The sequence below is a fragment of the Homo sapiens genome, chromosome 16, assembly GCF_000001405.40.
Source record: "Homo sapiens chromosome 16, GRCh38.p14 Primary Assembly".
Taxonomy (NCBI): Eukaryota; Metazoa; Chordata; class Mammalia; order Primates; family Hominidae; genus Homo; species Homo sapiens.
Genome location: NC_000016.10, coordinates 67,290,112 through 67,313,819, shown reverse-complemented (window position 1 = coordinate 67,313,819; position 23,708 = coordinate 67,290,112). Strand labels below are relative to the sequence as shown.

Genomic DNA, 23,708 nt, shown 5'->3' with positions numbered 1-23,708 from the left:
TGGGAGGCTGAGGCGGCCAGCCTGACCAACATGGTGAAACCCCATCTCTACTAAAAATACAAAATTAGCTGAGCATGGTGGCATGCGCCTGTAATCCCAGCTACTCAGGAGGCTAAGGCAGGAGAATTGCTTGAACCCGGGAGGCGGAGGTTGCAGTGAGTCAAGATCATGCCACTGCACTCCAGCCTGGGCAGCAGAGCAAGACTCTATCCCCAAATAAAAAGAAAGATCATTGGCTGCTGGCTTAACCTTAGATCAAGAATCTGCAAACTACAGCCCATGGACGAAATTCAGCCACTACCTTTTTTGGAAAGCCCATGAGCTAAGAATGGGTTTTACATTTTTAGATGGTTGAAAAAAAATCAAAAATATTTTGTGCTATGTAAAAATCATATGAAATACAAATTTCAGGCCAGGCGTGGTGGCTCACGCCTGTAATCCTAACACTTTGGGAGGCCAAGGCGGGCAGATCACCTGAGGTCAGGAGTTCAAGACCAGCCTGGCCAACATGGTGAAACCCCATCTCTACTAAAATACAAAAATTAGCCGGGCATGATGACAAGTGCCTGTAATCCCAGCTACTCGGGGAGGCTGAGATGAGAGAATCGCTTGAACCTAGGAGACGGTGGTTGCAGTGAGCTGAGATCGCACCACTGCACTCCAGCCTGGGCGACTGAGGGAGACTCTGTCTCAAAAAAAAAAAAAAAATTCTAATTTCAGTGCCATTGATAAAGTTTTACTGGAACACAGCTATGCTCATTTGTTTATGTGTTGTCTATGGCTGCTCTCAAGCTGTAACACAGAGCTGAGTGGTTGAGTTGACAGAGACCATGTGGCTAGCAAAGCAAAGCCTAAAATATTTACTGTCAGGCCTTTTATAGAAAAAAACTTGCTGACCCCTGGCCTAGACTGCAGCAGAGCAAGGGAGGAAGTAGACAGACCAGTTAAGAGGCTCCTGCAGTATCCAGATGAAAGATAATGGTGGTTTGTTCTATGGTGGTAATAGTAGTGTTAGAGGTGTTCAAACTCTGAATATGTCTTGCTGGTAGAACTGACAGGGTTTGCTGATGAATTGAATGTAGGGTGAGAGAGAATGGACAACTCCTTTGTTTCTCTCCTGAGCAACCAGATGAATGGTGGATTTTGAGGGATGTGTACACAGGTTTAGGGAGGAAAATCAGGAGTTAGGATCTGAACATGTTGAGTTTGAGAGACAATGAAAGGGCAATAAAACCATCCAAGTGAAGGTAAACAGGAGGCGCGGGATGTACAGGTCTGGAATTCATGGAAACAGTTAGGCCTAGAGATAAAAATTTGGGAGTCATAAAAGCTGATATGTAAATCCATGAATCTGGATATTTTGGAATACTGTATATTGTTTATAGGGGAAATACAAAGTAGTCATTACAGGTCCACACATTAATATCACAGGGCCTCCTAGAACTTCCTGTGTAATTTGGGAAGGCCACCTTACCTAAATGTAAACTGATCTGAGCCCTTCACATCCATCAGCCTGGGTGGGAGTCACAGCTGCAGAGTGTGGAATTTCCCTTTAGGGTCATTCACCAGGGTTTAAGTTTCATGGCAAATTATCGATTCTTTTTTACTTCCCCCCTGAAGTCCACTGAGGACAATGTGTTGACAGGACATGCTACTTATGTTTCCTTTTTCACACCTTCTGGGGACTTCTCAGTTTGGAACTTTAAATTGTTCCACTTGTGAGCATTCTGCTACCAGCAAGCAACCCAAACACGCCTTCATTCCTTGTGCTCAAGGGAGCCAGGGAGTTTTTATGTTGATCACACAAATGACGTTTTTAAGAAAATAGACCAGTGGCAGTCTCACATTTCCCATTACTCATGATGTGAGATTATGACTGTGATCTTGGAAAGGAAGAGGATGACATAAACAGCAGATATTCATCCCAACTGTGTAGCTTGTCTGTGGTGTGGGTAAGTGGATGACTCAAATGCAAACCCCTTGACGTGGCATCAGGGCTCCTCACAGGCTGGCTCATCTGCTTGTGCTGGCTCATATCCCAACAAAGACACACACCTACATGCAGGCAAGGCCACATACACATGCACACACACACACACAGGCACACACACACACTTTGAAGTTCAGCCTTGCCCCAAGCACCCCACATGCTTTCTCTCTACACTTTTTCACTTGCCGTTTCCTCTTCTTGGATTTCTCCCCTTTTAAGATTTGGCCTTGGCTGGGGACGGTGGCTCGCGCCTGTAATCCCAACTCTGGGAGGCTGAGGCAGGTGGATCACTTGAGGTCAGGAGATTGAGACCAACTTGGCCAAGATAGTGAAACCCCATCTCTACTAAAACTACAAAAATTAGCCAGGCGTGGTGGCAGGCAACTGTAATCCCAGCTATTTAGGAGGCTGAGGCAGGAGAATCGCTTGAACCTGGGAGGCGGAGGTTGCAGTGAGACAAGGCCAAGATTGTGCCACTGCACTCTAGCTTGAACAACAGAGTGAGACTCCATCTCAAAAAAAAAAAGATTTGGCCTAAATGTGGCCCACTGGAAGACTATCCTGACATTTCCTGAGTTTTTGTCTCTCTGCTCTCATAACAGACTGAATTCCCCCATTCTAGCAGTGCTAATTCTGTTGTGATCATGTATTCTCATGTATTCATATGTCTTTCTCCCTCACTGGGCTGTACTCTTTTCATGTTTTCATGAAACAAACACCTAGCACCTCTCACAGTACCTGGCATTTGCACATGCTTAACAACATATCTGCTGAGAGAACACTCAGTGTTATGCTCAAGATGACTTCTGCAGAGTGAGGTGACTGGAGCCCACAGTGAAGGGGTAGGTTTTAAATGCCGAAAGCTGCGTCTTATTTGGCTTTGGGGGCTGACAGCAGCTGTTCTGCACATCCTTTTGTTCTACCAGCCTTGCTTTCCTTGAGCCTTAAAGCAGTGCTGGCCCTCCTTGTCTTTACAAGGCAGTCAAGGATTTGGAAGTTCCCCCAAGCTCCTTTACCATCACATTCTTTCCAACAGCCTACATCAGAGCATAAGGCATCTCTGAGAACTGCTGCTGCTTTGGAAAACCTCCGTTAAGTCCCAAAGTTCTGCCATCAGGGCGCATTTGTCAGCCATCTTTGGCAACCACACACATACATACACATACTTCCCCGTGCCATCAGTTTTATGTTGCTTCTGATTGACATATTTTTTCACCACTATCTAGGCCAAAAGCAACATCATTTATTCTTGTGCTAGAAATTAGCCATCTGAATTCATTTAAGGTCTGTATTTCCCTTAAGAAATCCTCTCTCCAATAACTTTTTCCAGGTCGTAACATGTGAAAAGTAAAATTCCTGGAAGTTGTATTCAGGCAGATGAAAGCGGACTTGAAGTCAGCCTGTAGAAGACCAGCCACACACTCTGTAGCAATTTCAGTCAGCAAAGCCAGAGGGCAGCTGGAAGCCCAGGCTCTCTGGAGTGTTCTTCATTCATTTAGCCATTCATTGAACAAAAAGGTATTGAGACCCCACAGGCCTTGTTTTAGGTGCTGCAAATACGGCAGAGGACAAAACAGCCAAGGTCCTGAGGTCTTGGGGAGGTTATATCTATTAGGGGAAACTGGCAGATCAAAAATAAGTAAGTGAGGGGCTGGGGAATGGTTTCTGTGATTTCTTATAGCACCCGAATGGCTTTCCGTGAGTAGAGGACTTGTATTTCTAGAAGTCAGAGCAAGTATTGGTTGACAGAGTTCGGGAAACAGCCTTGTTGAGGCTCCTGAGCCTAGGTCAAGGCCGATGCCTGGGCCTGGCCTGCAGCATGACCTGACTGGCAAGGATGGCAATCTTTGTGGACTTGCTTTAGTTTTTCTCTTTTTTAAGATTTCTTGGGCATACCTTTCTTGGGGAAAATGGTGCTGCTAACACTTTACATGCTTGGAAATAGCAGGAAATGGAGATTTCATTTCTGCAAAATAGATCATTCTCTCCTCAACTAGCACATCTCCTCTCAAACTAGCTAGACTGTCACTACTGACCCATTCCAGAGGACACATCCAGTACCAAACACCTCCAAATAGGAGTGTTGTCCTGGGCAGGGATTTCTCTCCCCTTCTCCCCACCACAGGCCTTCTCCCACGTGGCCAATTTAGAGTTGTTCAAAGGCACTATTATTTTCTCCACTAAGACAGAATCTTGGGGGTTGAATCTGTAGGTGAAGTAAGTGGCAGATTCAAGCTCCTGTGATGCAGTCCACTGAGCATGGGCTTGGAGTGCTACGCTGCCCTAGCTGACTTTCCCTAGTTTCACTCTTTTCTTGCTACTTTGCCTACTGTCTTTCTGTCCATCACAAATCAGACCCAAGCTAAACCCTTTCTTCTTGCCATCCTCTCTCCCTCTCCTTCATCCCTGTCCCTCTCCCCGTTAGGTCTTCCCTCTGGCCTCCAGATCCCAACGTGGAATCCCTGTCTTCATTGTCCTCTGAACTCCATAGGCTCTGCCCATTGTAATCTTGTGCTGGTTTTTCCTGTGGTTTTGGATACTCAATGTCTTTCCATCTTTCTCAGTTTTATGAGTGCAGTCTACTTCTCTGTTCGCTTCTTTGGAGATCTCCCATGTTTCTTTTTGCTTTTCTTTGCAGAGAATCAGCCCTCCAGCCCTTCCTTTTCTTTCTTTCTTTCTTTTTTCTTTTTTTTTTTTTTTTGAGCTGAAGTCTCGCTCTGTCTCCTAGGCTTGAGTGCAGTGGCATGATCTCGGCTTACTGAAACCTCTGCCTCCTGGGTTCAAATGATTGCCTCAGCCTCCAGAGTAGCTGGGACTACAGGCATGCACCACCAAGCCCGGCTAATTTTTTGTATATTTAGTAGAGTTGGGGTTTTGCCATGTTGGCCAGGCTCGTCTCAAACTCCTGACCTCAAGTGATCGGCCCAGCTCGGCCTCCCAAAGTGCTGGGATTACAGGTGTGAGCCACCGCACCTGGCTAGCCCTCCATTTTCATGCATTCTTTCATATGCATGCTAGGTTCTAGAACACAAAATGGGGATGCATCAAACCAGCCTCTCCCCAGGAAGCTTGGTATAGGGGGAAGAACTGGCCTGAAACTGAGCCAGAGGCCTGCAGAGAGAAGTGAAAGTGTTGAGTGTCTGTGGGAACAAAGTGGGGGGATGACCCATTCTGGCTCAGAGAGGCTCCAGGCTCTTCAGGAAGAGAATGGGGAGGAGTATTCTGGGCAGATGGAACAGCGTACACAAAGCTGGGGAGGTGTCAAAGAACGTGATGTGTTTTTGGAGTTTTGTGGAGTTTAGTGTCACTGATGATGGGGTGTAAACATAAAGAATGATGGGAAATGAGGCTGGAAAGGTAATTTAGGCTGGGCGCAGTGGCTCATGCCTGTAATCCCAACACTTTGGGAGGCCGAGGTGGGAGGATCATTTAAGCTAAGGAGTTTGAGACCAGCCTGGGCCACATAGCAAGACCTCATCTCTACAAAAAATCAAAAAGTTAATGGGGTGTTGCGGCGCACAGCTGTGGTCCAGCTACTTGGGAGGTTGAGGCAGGAGGATTGTTTAAGCCCAAGAGGTCAAGGCTGCAATGAGCCATGATGATTGTACGACTGCACTCCAGCTTGGGCGACACAGCAAGGCACTAAAAAAAAAAAAAAAGAAAAGAAAGAAGGAAGGAAGGAGGGAGGATGGGAGGGAGGGAGGAAGGAAGGAAGGAAGAAATTTAGGATATGACCTCCAAAAGGAAGGAAATTAACATACTATTTCATTTAATCTTTACAACAGCTTCCAGATTTTACTGCCTCCACTTTGCCAGTGAGGAACCTGAGGCTTGGAGAAGTTACATGACAAGTGGAAGGCAGCAGAGGCTGGGAAAAGTAGGGGGAGGGAAGGAGATGAAGAGAATTTGGATAATGGGTACAAAATTACAGTCAGATAAAAGGAATAAGTTCTTGTATTTGGTAGTACGCTAGGAATACTATAGTTAATAATAATATATTGTGTATTTCAAACTAGCTAGAAGAAAATCATTGGAATGTTTCCATCACAAAGAAAAGATAAATGTTTGAGGTGATGGGTCTGGCCCAGTGGTTCATGCCTATAATCCCAGGAGGCCAATATGGGAGGATCGCTTGAGCCCAGGAGTTCAAGACCAGCCTGGGCAACATGGCAAAGCCCTGTCTTTACAAAAAACTTAAAACTTAGCTGGCTGTCGGCCAGGCGTGGTGGCTCATGCCTGCAATCCCAGTACTTTGGGAGGCTGAAGCAGGCCGATCACTTGAGTCCAGGAGTTTGAGACCAGCCAGGGCAATGTGGCGAAACCCCACCTCTACTAAAAATACAAAAAAATTAGCCAGGTGTGGTGGTGCACGCCTGTGGTCCCAGCTGTTTGGGAGGCTGAGGTGGGAGGATCACCTGAGCCTGGGAGGCGGAGGTTGCAGTAAGTCAAGATTGGGCCACTGCCCTCCAGCCTGGGCAACAGAGTGAGACCTTGTCTCAAAAAAAAAAAAAAAATTAGCAGGGTGTTGTGATGTGCACCTGTGGTCCCAGCTACTCAGGAGGGTGAGGTGGGAGGATCAGTTGAGCCCAGTAGGTCAAGGCTGCAGTGAGCTGTGATCATGCCACTGCACTCCAGCCTAGGTGATAGAGTGTGACTCTGTCTCAAAAAAAAAAAATGACGTGATGGATATCTTCATTACCCTAAATTAATCATTATACATTGTATCCATGTATTGAAATATCACATGTACCCCAAAAATATGAACAACTATTACATATCAATAAAAAGAAAACAGTTGCTAAGGGCTTGGGCTCCAGAGTCCTGGGTTTCATTCCTAGTATCTCCACTTACTTGGTGCACTTAGTCCCCTACCTCTTCCTGGACCTAGCTTCCCATGTGCTCAAAGGGAGTGATGATACCAGAGCCTACTTTGTTGTCAGGGGAAGATTGGAAGGATTCAGTTTAAAAGTCCATGGGTAATAAATGTTAGCTTTTAAGTGACAGAGTCAGAATTTACCCCAGATATGCTGAGTTCAAAGCCCTTGTTCTTTTCGTGTATACCCTACTCCCTCCATTGATTGTGAAGGACCCTATGTGCAATGCAAAGGAGAGTCTGGATTTATCCCATAGCAACAGGAAGCACTAAAGTTTTTTAAGATGAGGAGTGATTTGGACTCACCTCATATGTTTGCAAGATCACTGTGTGGAGAGGACCTGGGGGCTAGGGGACCAGGACTAGGGGAAAGGAAAGGAGAGAAAATGGAGAGGCAGGACGGGCACGGTGGCTCACGCCTATAATCCCAGCACCAGCCGAGGCTGGTGGATCATTTGAGGCCAGGAGTTTGAGACCAGCCTGGCCAACATGGTGAAACCCCATCTCTACTAGAAATCCAAAAATTAGCCAGGCATGGTGGTGGGCACCTGTAATCCCAGGTACTCGGGAGGCTAAGGCAGGAGAATCACTTGAACCCAGGAGGCGGAGGTTGCAGTGAGCCGAGATTGCACCACTGCACTCCAGCCTGGGTGACAGAGCGAGACTCTAATGTTCCCTTCTAATGCTGTGGAAAGAAATCCCAGGGTTCCTGGAGGTCCAGAAACTTCATAATTGACACTGGCTCTAATCTCAGTATACGTAAATTGTGGTCTTTCATATCTTTCTTCTCTCCCAAGCTGAGAGCTTCTTGAGGGCAGGCACAGTGTCTGACTGTGGCCCTGGTGATGCACAATGAGTATTTCTCAAATGAATGACAGACTGTCTTCCAGCGTTCCACGCACACACTGTCTCCCCCATTGTTCACTGCCACAGGAAAGCACTCCCCACGATCCCACCATTGCCCAGTGCTTTTGCAAACCCTCCAGCCATCCAGAGTGGGAAAGATTCTCCCACTCTGGCCCGCCTTCTTTTGCATTGACCTTAAGTGATTATGCGGGCACAGTTTATAGCTTGGCCACCAGAGGACTAGTCTCAATGCTCAGGATTTTTGAGAGCAACGTCACAAGGGCTTCATTGACATAGCAGCATTTAGAGGCAGATTATTTGTTAGTTTCAGACTAAATCTGGGGCACCTGTCCATTTTGAGGATCTGGTGCCTTTAAAGTACCACTTGCCCTGCTATATCCGGAAATTTATTGGGAAAATACTATGTATCTTCTTCTAGCGTAAAGACAGAAAAAAAAAGGGAGGGGGTGCTGATGTTATGATAATCTGCCCCCTGCAGGACTTTTGAGGGAGAATGGGTCCCTGGGTAAGGGCGGCACGAAGACCGCCCTGGGCTTCAGGCTTGCCTAGTTGGGGTGCTCCACTCCAGCCTCAGCCCACCTCTGGTCGCCTGATCCTTCAAGCTGACAAGCTCTGGACTTGGAAGACTGCTTGGGCGGGCCACAAAGCCTTTGACCTCAGCTGCCTCATCAGTAAGACACTCACCAACCACATCTGTCTCACAGAATCATGTCATGGTAAATGAGAAAAAGTGTGTTAAAGTGTGTTGAAAAATGTGGAGTCCTGTGGCAATATAAGACATGTTTATTATACCTCAATCTCACCACTTAGATCACTACCCAGGGTTAGGATGAACACAAACAATAGCAAATCACAATTATAACAGGTTGAAAGTGATTTTGAGCACTTGAAGGAAAATGATAGCAGAAAATAACAAGTTTTTAATGATTAAATAGAAATTACTCTTTAGATTGTGCAAGATAAATTACTATTACTCAACATAAAATTATAACAAAACTTGTTTCAAAAATCAGAAGAGAAATAATCATTGGGACTTTGAATATCAGCATGTCACCCTATAGCCCTACATTTTTACATTTTTTGTGTGACTGCCTAATTTATTTCAAAACACTTAAAGTAAGTCGCTGGGCGCGGTGGTTCATGCCCGTAATCTCAACCCTTTGGGAGGCCGAGGCGGATGGATCACCTGAGGTCAGGAGTTCAAGACCAGCCTGGCCAACATGGTGAAACTCTGTCTCTACTAAAAATACAAAAAAAAATTAGCCAGGCGTGGTGGCAGGTGCCTGTAATCCCAGCTACTCGAGAGGCTGAGGCAGGAGAATCGCTTGAACCCAGGAGGTGGAGGTTGCAGTGAGCTGAGATCGCACCACTGCACTCCAGCCTGGGCAACAAAACGAGACTCTGTCTCAAAAAAAAAAAAAAGTAAGTCACATACTGTTTTTCCTGATCTTCACACTAGAATTGGTACATAGTTACTTGGTTTAGATTCTCAAGATAGTACTCTTCATTATCTAACAGACTCTAGATAACCTGAAGGAAGGGAAACACCATCTACGCGTACGGCCTGCAGACCTACCTGTTGCTGAGAGAGCATCTCTGAACTACTGGCGTACATGGAAGTGTATTAGCAAACCCTCAGAATTTCCAATTAAAAGCCCAGCCTTTACAGGTGAATTGGGATAGGCTGTCCCTCCCTAAAGCCCACACCAACTTTCCCTCTCCTCACCCTAACAGAAGTGGCTTCCATCCAGAGAGCAGAGAGTGCCTGATTTCTGAGGCAGTCTCTGTCATCTCCTTTGATCTTCTGCCCTGCCACAGGCCCTCTCCATGGCTGCTTGCCTGCTGGAACCAACATTCTCCTCCACACTCACTCCTCTGCATTCTGGCTTCATGTGGGCAAGGCGAGGTTTCATTCCACTCCCTCCTATTCATCAGGGAATGCCACCATTCTTTTGAGTTTCCTCCAACCACCACACACAGAATGTCCCTAAATAATCACTGTCTGATGGGTGCCTGGCAGCATAGTTCAGCCTATCTGAGACATGAGTACAAAGCATTTATGATTATTGATGGATTTTAGCTTCCAGGAGTGTCAAAAGCATCTATTTTGTCTGTGGATCACTGTGTTTGGTTTGATCAATTAGAATCAAATGGGTAAATGAATTTAATGACTTTGGATACATAAGTCAAAATGTCACATGTCCCACTGCCCTTCACTGTTTATAGAAAAAATATAGATTTCCAGCTGGGCACGGTGGCTCATGCCTGTAATCCCAGCATTTTGGGAGGCTGAGGCAGATGGATCACGTGAGGTCAGGAGTTCGAGACCAGCCTGACAACATGGTGAAACCCCGTCTCTACTGAAAACACAAAAATTAGCTGGGTGTGGTGGCACGTGCCTGTAGTCCCAGCTACTTGGGAGGCTGAGGCAGGAGAACCAGTTGAATCTGAGAGACAGAGGTTGCAGTGAGCCAAGATGGCACCACTGAATTCCAGCCTGGGCAACAGAGTGAGACTCCATCTCAAAAAAGAAAAGAAAAAAAAATAGACTTCCATGCCCCACTCCCTACCACACTCCTTAGGGCTACAACTGAAAAGATAAAGAAGGAAGATGTGTCTGGCAAGTGGCAAGGACCATATCCTGGGGGGTCTCTCTAGCATCCTCTGGGGCCCCTGGGTCAGTGAAAGCCCTGCTGGAATCAGATCCCTGGCTTCTGAGAGGTGGCAACACTGCCTGCATGTTCTCTTCCAGGCCTACATGATAAGGCACCTCTGGGGCTCATGGACACACCCCTGTTAGACACAGAAGAGGAGGTGCACTACTGCTTCCTGCCCCTAGACCTGGTGGCCAAATATCCCAGCCTAGTGACTGAAGACAACCTGCTGTGGCTGGCTGAGACGGTGGCCCTCATCGAGTGCGAGTGCAGCGAGTTCCGCTTCATTGGTGATTGCTCTGTCCGGGGTGGGGTGGGGGGCGGGCTGATAGGGCCCATTCACCCCTCCCCATCACATGTCCCACAGAGGCCCAGCTTGGTGCTCAGGGCCTCAGGAGCTTCCCTGGGCAGAGGTAGCGGAAGCATGACAGAGCCTTCCAGGAAGCAAGCAGATTCCAGCATTAGAATCTCACTAGACTCAGGGCTGTTTTATTCCCTATTTGTTTTGGGATGGCCTGGCTGTAAAAGTGTCAGGCACTGGAAAGTGCTAGGGACCACAGGAGTTGGTGTGAAGGGCAGGGAGCTCAGCTGGTTGCCAGTCGGCTTCTCTTCTTACTCTGCCCTTATGTATCCAGCTGGTCTTCCGGCCTCAGTTCCTCTCACCATAAAATGAGGAATCCAGATTGTTTCAAAGGATGGTGCTACCTGCTCTTAATGTCAGCAAACTCAGAATAAAAGGGAAGGAGGGTGGATGGTGACAGGTTCCCCCAGAGTCATAGCAGAATTGTCCACTTGAGGTAGTGGCCTAAGGAAGGATGAGATTTTCCACCTTTGACAGAGAGAGCCTCTCTCCCCCTACTGCCCCAGGATGAGCTCTGTTTGGGATGTGAACTGAATGATCTCTTTGACCCCAAGATGCTACTGCTGTCTAGATAGATAGGGCAGTAAACACTCAAGTTACACTAGGAGCCCAAATGTCTGGAACCCCAGTCATTCATATTCATAGTCACCTAGAAAGTTGTCTGTGATGTGCTTCTGTATCTCTAAGTTGATTCACACAGGACATTAGCGTTGGCTCCATCTCTGCCTCCCATACTGCAGTCCAGGCAGGGACAAACTGCAAGTGCCACCCGCCAGCCCAGGCTCGGCCGGGCCCCTCCTCTCTAAGCAGCAAGACAACTCCCTCTTTTGGAATGACCTGCTCTTGGGTCAAAACTCACAGGGTAAGTCTCAGGGCCAGTGTGCCCACCAGGAGGGCCTGGCTTGGGAGCCCCAGGCCAAGCCACGGGAGGCCACACCCACGGCCTCAGACACAGGAAAACAAAGTAATGTGGGGTCTTTCGCCTTGAAAACCACACACTCAAAGCTAATCTAATAAGGTATGTTGATAAGTTGTTTCAGAACAAGGAGAACCTAGGATAAGTTACAGCACCAGAAACCTGCCAAAACCAGGACCTACAGCTAAACCAGAAATAGCCTCATTAACTCACTGTGTTCCCCTTTGTTTTTCAAGTGAATTTTCTTCGCTCACAGAAGATTTTACTACCGGATAATTTCTCCAACATTGATGTATTAGAAGCAGAAGTGGAAATTCTGGAAATCCCTGCACTCACTGAAGCCGTAAGGTGGTACCGGATGAACATGGGTATGTCGCCAGGAAACCTTGGCTCCCCCTCGACAGTCTTGGCTTGACCTGGAAAAGCCAAGAACAATCTTCCCTCCCACAATCACTTCGGGCTTTGGGGGTTAGTGAGAGGATTGGGTTTTCTGGCTGACTCTGAATCCAAGAAGAGGATTCACAGCCTGAAACCCTGTGTGCTGCCCTGCCGGCTCAGCCTTCCCACTGAGGGTGGGGAGTGGGCAACCAGCCAGGGGTGTAGAAAGCCCAGCCCAGCCTGGATCAGGAGGAGCCCAGCCTGGGTGGGGAGCCAGGCTGGAATGTCCTGGGCCTGAAGGCAGGCTTCTCAGGGGCAGGGGAGGTCTGCCCTGCTTGTGAAAGTGGTGGGGACTAAGAGCACCCACCAGCCACTCCCATCCTTCCTCTTCCAGGCACGGTTGGAGGTGTGGGAAATGCTCAGTGCTTCATGCATCTCATCCACCCCCAAATTCCCTCGTCACCTCACGTGGAAACCCCCGGCTGCTGTGCCTGTTTCTGCCTATTCCTGACGCTTGCTGACCCCTGTCCAGCCTAGGCCTTCGTGCTCCCAGCCCTACCTCATTCCAGCTTGTTCTTCCCCTCATGGTTTCCTCAGGGCTGTTCATCATTCCATTTCCCAACTCCACCTCCATGGAAGCTACTGTGCATGTTATAGGGCGCAAGCTACCTGAGCATGGCTTCAGCCACCATCCCGAGAATGTGTAGAACTGCATTGCACATGGGAAGTTTGGCCTGGACATCACCAGACATTTATCCCATGGCAATCAGGCCTTTCCTTATCTTCAGGCATAGATTTCCCAGCCTTCTCCCAGACAAATAGAAACCCATCCTCTTGGCCAGGCGCTGGTGGCTGATGCCTGTAATCTCAGCATTTTGAGAGGCCAACGCAAGTGGCTCACTTGAGGTCAGGAGTTCGAGACCAGCCTGGCCAACATGGTGAAACCCCATCTCTACTAAAATACAAAAATTAGCCGGGCATGGTGGCACGCACCTGTAATCCCACTACTTGGGAAGCTGAGGCAGGAGAATCGCTTGAACCCAGGAGGTGGAGGCTGCAGTGAGCCGAGATCATGCCACTGCACTCAAGCCTGGGCAACAGAGTGAGACTCCTTCTCAAAAAAGAAACCCATCCTCTTTGTGGGGAGTGGCATGCTCCAGCAGGTCTCAGGACCCTGTCCCAGGGCCTTATAATCCGCTTAAGATGGTGTGAGTTCAGCCCCTTCCCTCAAAGCCTTCTACTCCTCAGAGAACATAGATCATTGTGAGATGGTAGCGTAGTCCCTGCTCCACAGAGCAATGCAAAGATGGAGGAAGTGTGTTGACAGCCAGGCTCTGGGAGCTGGCAGCACTCCTCAAACACAAAGGGTGGCTTTAGCTTTCTACAAAGCATCACAATAAGGGAAACAGCTGTGGTAACCTTGGAGCTGGACAGAGCTGACCTCAAATCCTAGCCCTGCCCCTGCCTAGCTTTGCAGTTTAGGGCAAGATACTTCATTAGCCTCTCAGGGCAGGTTCTTCAACGTGAAATGATGATAGCACTATCCCCTCTTGCAGGGTTGCTCTGAGGATTGGAGATGATCCACGAACATCCCCCAGCAGTGTGCCCACTGGCACATTGTTGCCACGGGAGCAGGGTCCTGAAGGCTGTGATAACTGTATTCTCTGGACTGTACCCTAGGCCCACTATAGGAGAAAAAGGTCCCATCCATAAACCAGCAACCCAAATACCCACCCTGAAAATAATGCCACACAGTATGTCTCTGGGGGAAATTCTGCCCAGGAGAGCCAGCAACAGGGGCTGTGAATCCAGGAAGCCTGTAACACACATTGAGTTTCCAGGCCATGGTTGCCGTTCTTTACCTTTGGATGGTTACAGAAGAGCTTGGAACTAATGAAGACTCCTGCAGAGGCTAGGGCCAGATGGCTGCTTTCCTGAAACTTAGGAAATTCAGATGCTAGTGATACAGCAAATGAATCCCCCCACTCCCAACTCACCTCCCAACAAATAGTTATGACTTCTAAGCCTGAGTATACAAAAAAATTATACTAATTTTGAGAAGATCTTGATTTGGACTGTGCAAAGAAATATCCTTCCTCTGAGCCTCCTCGGTACAATGGAGGCAGCAGTAGGAACCGAGCCCCAAAGCCTCCAATCCAGCTATGACCATGGGGGGCCTAGGAGTCACCCCTTTCTCTCTGACACAGGTGGCTGTTCCCCGACCACCTGTTCTCCCCTGAGCCCCGGGAAGGGGGCCCGCACAGCCAGCCTGGAGTCCGTGAAACCGCTCTACACAATGGCCCTGGGTCTGCTGGTCAAGTACCCGGACTCTGCGCTGGGCCAGCTTCGCATCGAGAGCACGCTAGACGGAAGCCGACTGTACATCACAGGGAATGGCGTCCTCTTTCAGCACGTCAAGTGAGGTCCTCCTTAGGGCACACTGAGTCCCATCACCCTTGGCTCTGCCCTTCCCTCTAGGAATAACCTGGGGCCTTTCCCACTAGCCAGAGGTGAAGTGTGTCCTTGGGGCCAGCCCATCATTTTAGCCATTACCATCACCAGCACCGCCACACTACCACCAGGTTAGGGCCTCAAAGGAGAGGGCTAGTGCCAAGGTACAAGGGTTGCCAAGGTTCAAAGGCTTCAGACCATTTCCTATTTCTGTCCTCTGCAGTCCATTTCCCTGGTTCTAGCCCTGTGCTAGGTCTGAGGTGACCAGGCCACAGTCAGGGAGCTGGGTACCTCCCTGTGCAGACCCCTCTACAAAGGTCCTCCGCCACTCTTGGGAGGCTCACTGGACACACAGAATGGCCAGAGCCAGGGGTGAGCCCCCTTAGAAGCAGGGCAGGGCAGGCCAGGCCAGGCCAGGCTTCCCAGAGGTGCTGATCCTCAGCCTTTGCCTTATGGGATGAGCTCAGGATGTCCTCATTAGTGCAGGGGCAAGGAATCCAACCCTGTTTTGTAGATGGGCAAACTGAGGTGCAGAACAGCAGAGCAACTCTCTGAGGGTCACAAAACAGACTGGCACCAAAATGGAAGGTAGAAGTGGGTTTTCTGGAGCCCCTGGGAGAGGGTCAGCTGACCCTGAATGCTGTCTTTTCCCAATATTGTTGTTTTGGGCTCTTTTAGCCCATAAAGTCCATATCTTTCAGAGATGTCCACCCTGATGTCACAGAGGGCAAAGACAAGTGCCTTGGAAGGGAGGGTTTGGAGAAGGGGGTTGATGTTTAGACCCCAGCCTTTTTCCAAGACCGTGGCAGGCTGCAACACAGTGACTGAGATGTCTTGGGCAGATGCGTATGAGGCAAGAAGGGAGCGACTGGGCCCTGGGCTGGCCCTGGAACCGGAAACACGGCCTGGAGACATGAAATTAGTCCATTTAGAGGGCTTTGCTGAAATAAGTCAAGCTCAGCTCCAAAAATGTGACCGGTTGTCCAGGCTTACTCTCCTACAAGGTTAAACAGATTTCCAGTTAAAACAAGGAAACGGGCTGGGCGCGGTGGCTCACACCTGTAATCCCAGCACTTTGGGAGGCCAAGGCAAGCAGATCATGAGGTCAAGAGATTGAGACCATCCTGGCCTACATGGTGAAACCCCGTCTCTACTAAAAATACAAAAAATTAGCCGGGCATGGTGGCGGGTGCCTGTAGTCCCAGCTACTCAGGAGGCTGAGGTAGGAGAATGGCATGAACCCTGGAGGCGGAGCTTGCAGTGAGCCGAGATCGCGCCACTGCACTCCAGCCTGGGTGACAGAGTTAGACTCCGTCTCAAAAAAAGAAAAAAAAAAAAAAAGAAACCCCGTCTCTACTAAAAATACAAAAAATTAGCCAGGCGTGGTGGCGGGTGCCTGTAGTTCCAGCTACTTGGGAGGCTGAGGCAGGAGAATTGCTTGAACCTGGGAGGCAAAGGTTGCAGTGAGCCAAGATTGCGTCACTGCACTTCAGCCTGGCGACAGAGTGAGACTCCATCTAAAAAAAAAATACAAGGAAACGATGTTAATGATGCCTGATTTAAGCCAGTGTTGCGGCAAGGCATCCTAGGCATGGAAAGTTTACAGGCTCGACTCTCTTGGGGTACAATGCTGATGTTCTTCATGACAGACCTTTCCTCTGGGCAGGAACTGGCTGGGGACTTGCCGGCTGCCCCTGACAGAGACCATTTCCGAGGTATATGAGCTCTGTGCCTTCCTAGACAAAAGGGACATCACCTACGAGCCAATCAAAGTTGCTTTGAAGACTCATCTGGAGCCAAGGACTTTGGCACCCATGGATGTGCTCAGTAAGTGAGAAAGCTTCTAGGTTTGAATTTAGCATCAGGGGAGTATCTGGGAGATTGGAGGGAATAGATGATGTGGCCAGGACGAGGAACTGTAGATGGAGGAGGAGGGGAAAGCCAGGCCAATATTTTGGATTTTTACAAAAGGGAAACTTTCATATTAAGTGCTCCCTCCTCACCTCCAAGCCCACAATTCGTCTCCAGCAGCAGACAGGGCTGTTACCCAGTCTGGGGCCACGCAGGACCCCCAGGGCAGGCCTGCCTTGACCCTGGGAGCTGACTTGCTGTGCTTCTCACAGCCATGCAGGGAGGAGCCTCCTCTGTTAAACAGAGCTGTCCCTGGGTCCATTTAACAGCCAAAAAATAGGTTCAGAGAAGAAAACTCACTCAAGTTACACAGTGGTCAAGCTGGGGTTTGACTGAGTCCAAAGCTAATGTTGTTTTCACCAGCTGCCTATAACTTCTTATTACCAAAAATTTGGGGGACAAAGTTTAAGCTGTATTACTATCATTTAGCAGCATCCAACATTTATTGAGTACCGGTCATATACCAGGACAGCAGTAGACACTGGCGGCACAGAAGTAAGCAACACAGACTTAGTCCCTTTCTTCCTGGAGTTCACGGTCTAGTTCTATACATCTTATCTCTTGGTTATATAATCTAGTTATATACCCTTCATTCATTACAGAGCTCATTAGAAACTGCTTCCCAAACATCAGAACAAGGCCTACATATAGTCATCTCCAGGAAAAGGGTTATGGGTTCATCTTTCCAGCATACAGCCCCCATTCTCCAGACATGCCTAGAGGCTTAGTCTCATAAAAGTGACAGGGATTTGATGAGAGTTGGCTCCATGACATTTGCCAAACCACGAACATAAACACACAGAGAGAGATTCCTAGCTTCAGTCTGAGTGGCCACATGAAAAGCTACACACTCAGGACACACCCAACCAGAAACCGGAGGCAGCTGGCATTGTAGGTGGACAGGGTCATCAACCCAGCTTTCCTGAGGGAGGAGGGTCAGGTGAAGAGGGGCAGTGCCCTTTCCCGCCTCACCACCCAGGAAACCTTGCAGCAAGCAAGGTTTATGTCAGGGATTTCTGCTGCTTCTCAGACTAGGCAACACAATATGACTGAGGAAAGATATTGAGACTTAACGTGAAATACACTACTAACCAAAGGGCCCTACCTGCTTTCCCTTCTGGCCATATGATGATGTGTTCTATCTCCTGGATTCCCATAGATGAGTGGACGGCAGAGATCACTGTGTATTCCCCACAACAGATCATCAAAGTGTATGTTGGAAGCCACTGGTACGCAACCACCCTGCAGACACTGCTGAAGGTACTGACGGCCTCGGCTGCCCTGCTCCCCATCTGGCATCACCACCTGAGCTGCTCTGGGGGCCATCACCTGGCCCTCACACAGCTTCCAGCACTTGCTTAGAACAAAGGCTTTCCCGCCAGGCACGGTGGCTCATGCCTGTAATCCCAGCACTTTGGGAGGCTGAGGTGGGCAGATCACGAGATCAGGAGTTCAAGACCAGCCTGACCAACATGGTGAAACCCCGTCTGTACTAAAAATACAAAAATTAGCTGGGTGTGATGGCACGTGCCTGTAATCCCAGATACTTGGGAGGCTGAAGCACCAGAATTGTTTGAACCCAGGAGATAGAAGTTGCAGTGAGCTGAGATCGCGCCACTGCACTCCAACCTGGGTGACGGAGTGTGACTCTGCCTCAAAAAACAAAACAAAACAGAGCACAAGTGGACCGAGTGGCCTGCTGGGAAGGCCCTCCAGAGTTTGCATAGGGAGGGGGCCAGCTCTGAGGGACCTGGACTGAGAAGGAGGTACGGTGGGCTTCCAAATGCCTTGAGAGGGTGGTCTAGGGGCCATCAAAAGTTGAAGCAGGGATGATGTGCTTCTCCCTGGAAGCTCTGCTCCCCACCATGGTTCCTTGTGACTGACAAGACAGGGAAATGGAATCTCAAAGCCTCTGCTCTAGTGTAGTTGGAAAAGGGGAGTGAGAGAAGATTGACCTGCCCCTTCGCAAAGACCTAGCCTCTGAGACTGAGTCCGGTGTCCAACCCCCTCCAGTATCCAGAACTGCTGTCCAACCCTCAGAGAGTGTACTGGATCACATATGGACAAACCCTGCTCATCCACGGGGATGGCCAGATGTTCCGACACATTCTCAACTTCCTGAGACTTGGCAAACTGTTTTTACCATCTGAATTTAAGTAAGTGAAGCAAGGACGCAGTAAGATGAAATCACGAAGGCTGACCCCTCCCTTAGCAACAAAGGAGACCTGAGTTGCAGCCTTCAGGGAGGAGGTTATTTTATTTCCATCGTGGGAACTGTTGGCAGCGGCAGTTCCAGGAGCTCATGCTCCCTCCCACACCCTCATCCTAGCTGCCCAGCTGGATATCTCCTTGTTGTTTGCAGGGAATGGCCCCTCTTCTGCCAGGAGGTGGAGGAATACCACATTCCATCCCTCTCAGAAGCCCTTGCACAATGTGAAGCATACAAGTAAGAAAACTTTATCACGACTCTATGTTTAGAATTTGGTCCTTTAAATTCCTCTTGAAATCCTGTCCTAAGTCCTACTCCTAGAGGATCCTGATCTCCTTGGGGTTGAGGGAGTGAAGCAGGCCCAGGATTGGCCAGTGACCTAGGCAAAACCCTTTAAGAGCCCCTTCTTCCCTGCTGTCTAGCATTAACTCCCAGCCAAAGAGCAGATCTGACCAACTGGCCAATGGCCTGATGGAAGTCTCTACTCACTAACCAACCCCTCTTGGTTTCTGCAGGTCATGGACTCAGGAGAAAGAATCTGAAAATGAAGAAGCTTTTTCCATCAGGAGGCTGCATGTGGTGACAGAAGGGCCAGGGTCACTGGTGGAGTTCAGTAGAGACACTAAAGAAGTAAGCACCAGCCTCCTCTGGTTGGTGTTATCCTCAAAAACCACTACCACCGGGCTCAGGGTGGATGGGGGTAGGTTCAGCTACTGGTGGGTGCAGCAAAATGAAAGAGCAGAGCCTACATGGGTTCCTAGGACAGGACCTGGCTTCTGAACCGTGAAGGAGGCACAGGAACTTACTGGCCACTTGTGGCCTGCGATGCTGATTGTATCTCCTGTTGGAATGACAGGCCACTGGGCTGGCACCATCCCCACTCAGCCTGAGCAAAGCTCAAATGGGTGACCCCTGTCAGGGATGGGATTGTTCAGGGAGAGCAAGTGAAGTCTTGGAGGCCCAGCTTATTAGATCTTGGGCAAGGCGTTGATGTCCATGCCCAACCTATCCAGAGTTACTGTGCCCTTCCCTCCCCAGACCACAGCCTACATGCCTGTGGACTTCGAAGACTGCAGTGACAGGACTCCATGGAACAAGGCTAAGGGAAACCTGGTCAGGTCCAACCAGATGGATGAGGCTGAGCAGTACACTCGGCCCATCCAGGTGTCCCTATGCCGAAATGCCAAGAGGGCTGGCAACCCTAGCACATACTCACACTGCCGTGGCTTGTGTACCAATCCTGGACACTGGGGGAGCCACCCTGAGAGCCCCCCAAAGAAGAAATGCACCACAATCAACCTCACACAGAAATCTGAAACCAAAGACCCTCCCGCCACTCCCATGCAAAAACTCATCTCCCTGGTGAGAGAATGGGACATGGTCAATTGCAAACAGTGGGAATTCCAGCCACTGACAGCCACACGGAGCAGCCCCTTGGAGGAGGCCACCCTGCAGCTCCCCTTGGGAAGCGAGGCTGCTTCCCAGCCCAGCACCTCAGCTGCCTGGAAAGCCCATTCCACAGCCTCAGAGAAGGATCCAGGACCACAGGCAGGGGCTGGAGCTGGAGCGAAAGACAAGGGGCCAGAGCCAACCTTCAAGCCATACTTACCCCCAAAAAGAGCTGGCACCCTGAAGGACTGGAGCAAGCAGAGGACCAAGGAGAGAGGTGAGTCCTGTCCCCCTTTGATCTAAGTCTTATTCACAACAGAGAAGGCAAACTCTTTGGCCAAGATGGCAGAGCAAGTTAGTGACAAAGGAGGACTAGACCCCCCCGCTCACCAATGCCATCTCTGTGCCAGGCAGCAGACACAGAAATGACTGGCACATTGGCATGGCTGGAGGGGCCAGGAGAACACACACGGCGAAGGGATGAGTGCTGTGGGAAGGAGGTGCCTATGAAGCAGGAGCACAAAAGAGGCTGAGGGCTGGGGAGTCAGCAGGGGAAGGAAGGAGAAGTCCAGGATGTTTGGAAGCGCAGGGCATGGGTCTAGCTGGAGGCCAGGCTTCACATGCAGACGTGATAAAAGATGAGGCTGAAGACAGAAGTCATAAGGACAGGCCTCGTGGGCCAGCTTCAGGACGTGGTACTCCATTCTGACCAGGATGGGAGTGAGCAGCGTCTGAAGGATTTTAGACAAGAGCACGGGGTCAGGTGTGCCCATCAGAAAGTTTGCTCCAGGAGCAGAGGAAATGCAGCAGGAGCTAGGTATTCGAAGCCACTTGGAGTTCTTTCTAGGCTAGGGGAAGCAGGCTAGGCAGGTAGTGGAGGGAAGGAGGGATGGGCCAAGGAGAAGCCAGGTTTCTAGCCTGTGGGACTGCAAGGGGGTGGATAGGCCCTTACTGAGGTGTGGGTAAGAGAAAGAGCAGAGCTTGGGGAAGGGCACATACTGAGTGTGAAATGCCGAGGGACATCCAGGTGGAGAAGCCCAGGAGACAGCAGGGGCTACAGGGACTGAACTGGAGAGAGAGCTTGTGTAGCCAGCTAAGGGAAGGTGGCCAGGGAACTGTGCTGAAAATCGCTGTGCCAGGATGCTGCCTCTGCTCCCTCAAAGCCCTGCCTGCAGTATTGTCACCTTCCCTATTAGTGGCTCCAGCCCTGCTTGGAGGGGCCTTCTTGGACTCTTGCCTGTGAGCCCTAAGTTGGTCTGTCAAGGTTGGGATGACAAATGTCCACTCTTTGGACATGCATCAAAGGCTGGCCCCAAAAGTTCTCAACTTAAAATTTTATAAAGATTTCCAGCCCTCAGCCCCATTTGATACGTCTTAGTTCAACAGAGGAATCTGGAGTTTCTTCGAGTTCCAAAATGTTCAGGATTTGGCTTGCAGTGATGCCAGGGCAATGAAGAGAGGAGTGGCCAGGACAGGCCCCTGCCAGCCCAGGGTGTCACTTCTGAGAAACTAGAGGTGGCAGCTGTTGCAAGGCTGGGGTGACTTGATTGTACTGGCCTGTCACCAGAGGTCCCCTTCCTGCTTGGGCTCTGAGGTGGCTTAAGGAGAGTCCCTGCTTATGAAGATTTGATGGTAATTGAAGAAAAGAATTTTAAAAGCCTGTGCGTGTGGCTCACGCCTGTAATCCCAGCACTTTGGGAGGCTGAGGCGGGTGGATCACCTAAGGTCAGGAGTTCGAGACCAGCCTGGTGAAACCCCATCTCTACCAAAAATACAAAAATTAGCCGGGCGTGGTGGCAGGTGCCTGTAATCCCAGCTACTCAGGAGGCTGAGGCAGGAGAATCGCTGGAACCTGGGAGGCAGAGGTTGCAGTGAGCCAAGATTGTGCCATTGCACTCCAGCCTGGGCAACAAAAGCAAAACTCTATCTTGAAAAAAAATTTTTTTTTAAAAGGAGAGCCCCCTCCCTATGTTGTTTTCACAGAAAGCCCTGCCCCTGAGCAGCCTCTGCCCGAGGCCAGTGAGGTGGACAGCCTAGGGGTTATCCTCAAAGTGACTCACCCCCCCGTGGTGGGCAGCGATGGCTTCTGCATGTTCTTTGAGGACAGCATCATCTATACCACGGAGATGGACAACCTCAGGCACACAACACCCACAGCCAGTCCCCAGCCCCAAGGTGAGGCTCTGGAGCCAGGCCGAGCCCTGCGCCTCCTCGTGAGGATGCCTGAGCCCCCTCCCAGGGTACTTCAGGCAGAGACAGTGGCCCCTGGGGGCCCTACCCCTCTCCCCCTCCTCACACTGTCTCTAAGGCCCTAGCTATTGACAGATGTGGCCACATCCACTTTCCCTCCTCCACAGAAGTGACTTTCCTGAGTTTCTCTCTGTCCTGGGAAGAGATGTTTTATGCACAGAAATGTCACTGCTTCCTGGCTGACATCATCATGGATTCCATCAGGCAAAAGGACCCCAAAGCCATCACAGCCAAGGTGGTCTCCCTGGCCAATCGGCTGTGGGTATGTGTGACAGGCCTCAGGCCCTGGGGCACCCTGTACCTTCTCCACCTCTTCCCCTGCCCCACAATAAGTGGTGCAAGGCAAGAGGAAGTAAGCCAAGATGGGGTTAAGGAGAAGGCCAGGGCCAGAAGAGTGGTGGGACAGGGAGGCAAGCAGAGCAGTTGCACCTGGACTGAGCCTCGGCCAAGAGGCAGATTTGCAGTGACAGTGCCCGCCCCCTACCCCTGTGGCTCTGTGGGCCCAGAGAAGTCCCCGCTCTGCATCTCACTCTGAGGGGCTAGGAGCTGCCCTAGCACTGCCTGACTGTGGGCTCTCCTGGCAGACCCTGCACATCAGCCCCAAGCAGTTTGTGGTAGATTTGCTGGCCATCACCGGCTTCAAGGATGACCGGCACACCCAGGAGCGCCTGTACAGCTGGGTGGAGGTGAGGGCCACTTGCAATCCCTGGGAATCCACCGACCCTGTGGATGCCTCAGATGGACGTGTGTCTTGCTGCACCAGGGCTGGGCCAGCACTGCCCAGAAGGCTAGACAGGCAGCTTAGGCCACTGCTCCCAGGGAGGGAGAAACTGCATGAAATTAACCAATCCAGAGTAGTCCAAAAGCAGTATTCAGGCCACTGGTTTTTACAGTTTTCCTCCAATGATACCAGCTGTGCCTTCATCACTAACAACCCTGGCCACACTTAGGGACACATATCATATGAGCCCAAGCTTTGACTCATATGGGAGTGAGGCCTTTTCAACCAGTGATACCAGCTTCACCTATCTGGCCACGATGTCACCAATTGTGTACATTCCTTTCATTTCTAAACTACTTTTAAGCATTCTTAGGCCGGGCGCGGTGGCTCACGCCTGTAATCCCAGCACTTTGGGAGGCCGAGGCGGGTGGATCATGAGGTCAGGAGATCGAGACCATCCTGGCTAACACAGTGAAACCCCGTCTCTACTGAAAACACAAAAAAATTAGCCAGGCGTGGTGGTGGGCGCCTGTAGTCCCAGCTACTCAGGAGGCTGAGGCAGGAGAATGGCGTAAACCCGGGAGGCGGAGCTTGTAGTGAGCCGAGATCGTGCCACTGCACTCCAGCCTGGGTGACAGAGCGAGACTCCGTCTCAAAAAAAAAAAAAAAAAAAAAAAAAAAAGAAAATATTCAGTAAGGGCAAAGGAATGATCAAGGGTTTTTTTCTTTTTCCTTTTC

The 23,708-nt window shown here is 50.0% G+C and overlaps 1 protein-coding gene across 1 annotated transcript in view, besides 1 other annotated feature; it reads left to right on the top strand.

The window, feature by feature from the left end:
* Positions 1 to 23,708, top strand: part of KCTD19 (potassium channel tetramerization domain containing 19) — a 37,310-nt gene that overhangs the window by 12,922 nt on the left and 680 nt on the right. Inside the window, exons 3-15 of the mRNA NM_001100915.3 lie at positions 9,249 to 9,399; positions 10,483 to 10,674; positions 11,898 to 12,029; positions 14,247 to 14,457; positions 16,157 to 16,317; positions 17,561 to 17,661; positions 18,415 to 18,557; positions 18,764 to 18,847; positions 19,126 to 19,240; positions 19,649 to 20,276; positions 21,983 to 22,174; positions 22,357 to 22,511; positions 22,834 to 22,935. Coding sequence (NP_001094385.1) covers positions 9,249 to 9,399; positions 10,483 to 10,674; positions 11,898 to 12,029; positions 14,247 to 14,457; positions 16,157 to 16,317; positions 17,561 to 17,661; positions 18,415 to 18,557; positions 18,764 to 18,847; positions 19,126 to 19,240; positions 19,649 to 20,276; positions 21,983 to 22,174; positions 22,357 to 22,511; positions 22,834 to 22,935 — 2,367 coding nt within the window. The remainder of the gene's footprint in view (positions 1 to 9,248; positions 9,400 to 10,482; positions 10,675 to 11,897; positions 12,030 to 14,246; positions 14,458 to 16,156; positions 16,318 to 17,560; positions 17,662 to 18,414; positions 18,558 to 18,763; positions 18,848 to 19,125; positions 19,241 to 19,648; positions 20,277 to 21,982; positions 22,175 to 22,356; positions 22,512 to 22,833; positions 22,936 to 23,708) is intronic.
* Positions 1,795 to 2,044: an enhancer, noted in NCBI's record as "active region_10963". NCBI's record gives its function as "activates an Ori minimal core promoter by ATAC-STARR-seq in GM12878 lymphoblastoid cells {active_cell/tissue: GM12878}" and the evidence as "EXISTENCE:reporter gene assay evidence [ECO:0000049][PMID:35858748]".